This window comes from Homo sapiens, chromosome 3, assembly GCF_000001405.40.
Source record: "Homo sapiens chromosome 3, GRCh38.p14 Primary Assembly".
NCBI lineage: Eukaryota > Metazoa > Chordata > Mammalia > Primates > Hominidae > Homo > Homo sapiens.
Window position 1 is genome coordinate 70,910,655 of NC_000003.12, and position 2,891 is coordinate 70,913,545.

The following is a 2,891-nucleotide window of genomic DNA, read 5'->3' on the forward strand; positions in this document are numbered from 1 at the left end:
GTTCCTCTTTATCGATGCTAAGATTGATCAGTATTGTTGACCACAAGGGGTAGAATTTGGGTTGCTACATCGATTCTCCATAGTCTATGGCTCAACTTACTGGGAAGAGTTTCAATTATCCAGAGGAAGCTCAGGTTACAGTTGCTGATCAATAGACTATAAACCTCCTGACTACATGTAGGAAGCATAGACGTCTCTCTTTTCCATCAGAATCATTTGAGTGAAGGAGCGCAGCTTCAGTGATGAAAATTTGTATTCCACAATCGACTCCGAAGGCCTGCGAGAGGAAGGTGAGAACATTAGTACACAAGCTATCAGGTATCACAAGTGTTATAAAGTCATCATTAGACTGGAACTAACCTCTAAAAGCAAATTAAAATCTGAGGAAAGAACATGCAAGGTCAGAATGAGATCATATATGTTGAAGACCTCATGATATATGCAAGGTTGCAGACCTCTGGGATTTTACATATTGATATGAGAAAATTGACACTTGACGTTTTGCCCAAGTTACATGTTCTCTCTGGGTAAAGATCCTAAAAACAACAATTGGATTTTAAAAAGTAAACAATACAGCAGCACCATTTGAATAGACATCACTGGTAAAATGCAGGGGCCTTCAAAGACAATACCAACATTTTCCGAAGGTGAAGTTGAAGTCATCTGGGGTTCCCATCCAGCTCAGTGTCATGGAGTGAAATTTGAAGAAATACAGTTCAACTACCAAAAGAAATGTAGAAGAAATTCCATTTAAAAAGGTCTAAATATATAACGTATGCCAAACTTTCTCAACATTGGCATTATTGATACTTTGTTCAGGTAATTCTTTGCTCTAGGAGCTGTACTGTGCACCGTAGGCTGTTTAATAGCATCCCTGGCCTCTACCCACCAATGCAAGTAGTAATCTAGCTGTGAAAAACAAAAATGTCTCCACTTTGCCAAACGTGGGGTGGGGGGCAGGGGGTGGAGGAATCACTCCAGGTAAAGAACCATTGATCTGTAGTAACACTTATCAAAATTCTTCCCCAACTTGCCAGAAGTTATATCTTTTATTTTGGGTACCAGAAGATACCCTAGTAAAGTTATGAGGCTTAAACATGTGCCATTTGGCTGCCCACGGCAGTGCTTCAAAGAGCTGACTACTCTGAAGCCTGGTTACCTGGGAGCAAATTCCAGATCTACCAATTACTACTTCTGAAATGCTGGGGAGTTTACATGTTCTGTATTGTAGCATGGATCTACCTCAAACACGTGTTGTCTATCCATGAAACACATGCATCAGAGTCACCTGTGTAGCATTCTCGACATGTACAGCCCTGGGTCCTATTCCAGACTCCCTGGTTAGGGCTTGGGAATCATCATTTTTAACCTAAGTTCCACGGTCAGGAATTGTGTTCTCGGAACAGCATGCTCAGCTTTCATGTGTGTGAGTGTGTGTGTGCTTTGGCCTTGTTTATAGCAAAATAGACGTAACAAAATTTATCATGTTAACCATTTTAAGTGTATAGTTTGGCAGCATTAAGTACACTCACAATGTTGTGCAGTCATCATCACTATCCATCCTGAACTTTTTCCTCTTTCCCAACCGAAACTGCACCCATTAAACTCAAATCTCTATCCCCCAACCCTGACTCCCTGACAACCACCGTTCTACTTTCTGTCTCTATGAACTTAACTACCCTAAGTACCTTATGTAAGTAGAATCATACAATATTTGCTCTTTTGTGACTGGCTTATTACACTTAGCAAAATATCTTCAAGTTTCATCCATGTGTCAGAATTTCCTTCCTTTTGAAGGCTGAATATCATGTCATTGTCTTTATATACCATATTTTATTTATCCATTTATCTATCGATGCACATTTGGATTGCTTCTACGTTTTGGCTATTGTGAGTAATACTGCTGTGCATATGATTGTACAAATACCTGTTGAAGGCTGGGTGCAGTGGCTCACGCCTGTAATCCCAGCACTTTGGGAGGCCTAGCGGGGCAGACCATTTGAGGTCAGGAATTCGAGACTAGCCTGGCCAACATGGTGAAACCCCGTCTCTACTAAAAAAATAAATAAAAAATTAGCCGAAATGGTAGCGGCTGCCTGTAGTCCCAACTACTCAGGAGGCTGAGGCAGGAGAATTGCTTGAACCTGGGAGACAGAGGTTACAGTGAGCCAAGATTGCACCACTGCACTTCAGGCTGGGAGACCATGCAAGATGTTGTCTCAAAAAAAAAAAAAAAAAAAAAAAAAAAAAAAAACACTTGTTCACATACCTGCTTTCACTTCTTTTGATTGCATATGTGGAAGTGGAATTGCTGGATCATACAGTAATTTGATGTTTAATTTTGTGAGGAATTGCCATGCCATTTGCCACAGCAGCTGCACCATTTCACATTCCCACCAGCAATGCATAAGGGGTCCAATTTCTCCACATCCTTGCCTACACTTGTTATTTTGCGGAATTCTTTTGTTTGTTTGTATTAATAGCTTTCCTAATCAGTGTGAAGTGATATCTCATAGTTTTGATTTGCATTTCCCTAAGGATTGGTGACTTTGAGCATCTTTTCATATGCTATTTAGCCATTTGTATATCTTCTTTGCTGAAATGTCTATCCAAGTCTTTTGTCATATGTTTTGAGTCATGTTCTACATCATGGTGAGAAACACAAGATCTGGAGCCTCAAAGCCCTGGTCTCTAACCTCAATTCTATAATTTTCTTATTTGTGTGATCTTGGGCAAGTTTTTGACCTCTCTGAGCCACCATTTTCTCAATCAAAATGACAAGAGTAGAACAAGCTTGAAGTGGGTTGTTTTTGAGACGGAGTCTTGCTCTGTCATCCAGGATGGAGTGCAGTGGCACTGTCTCAGCTCACTGCAACCTCCACCTCCTGAAT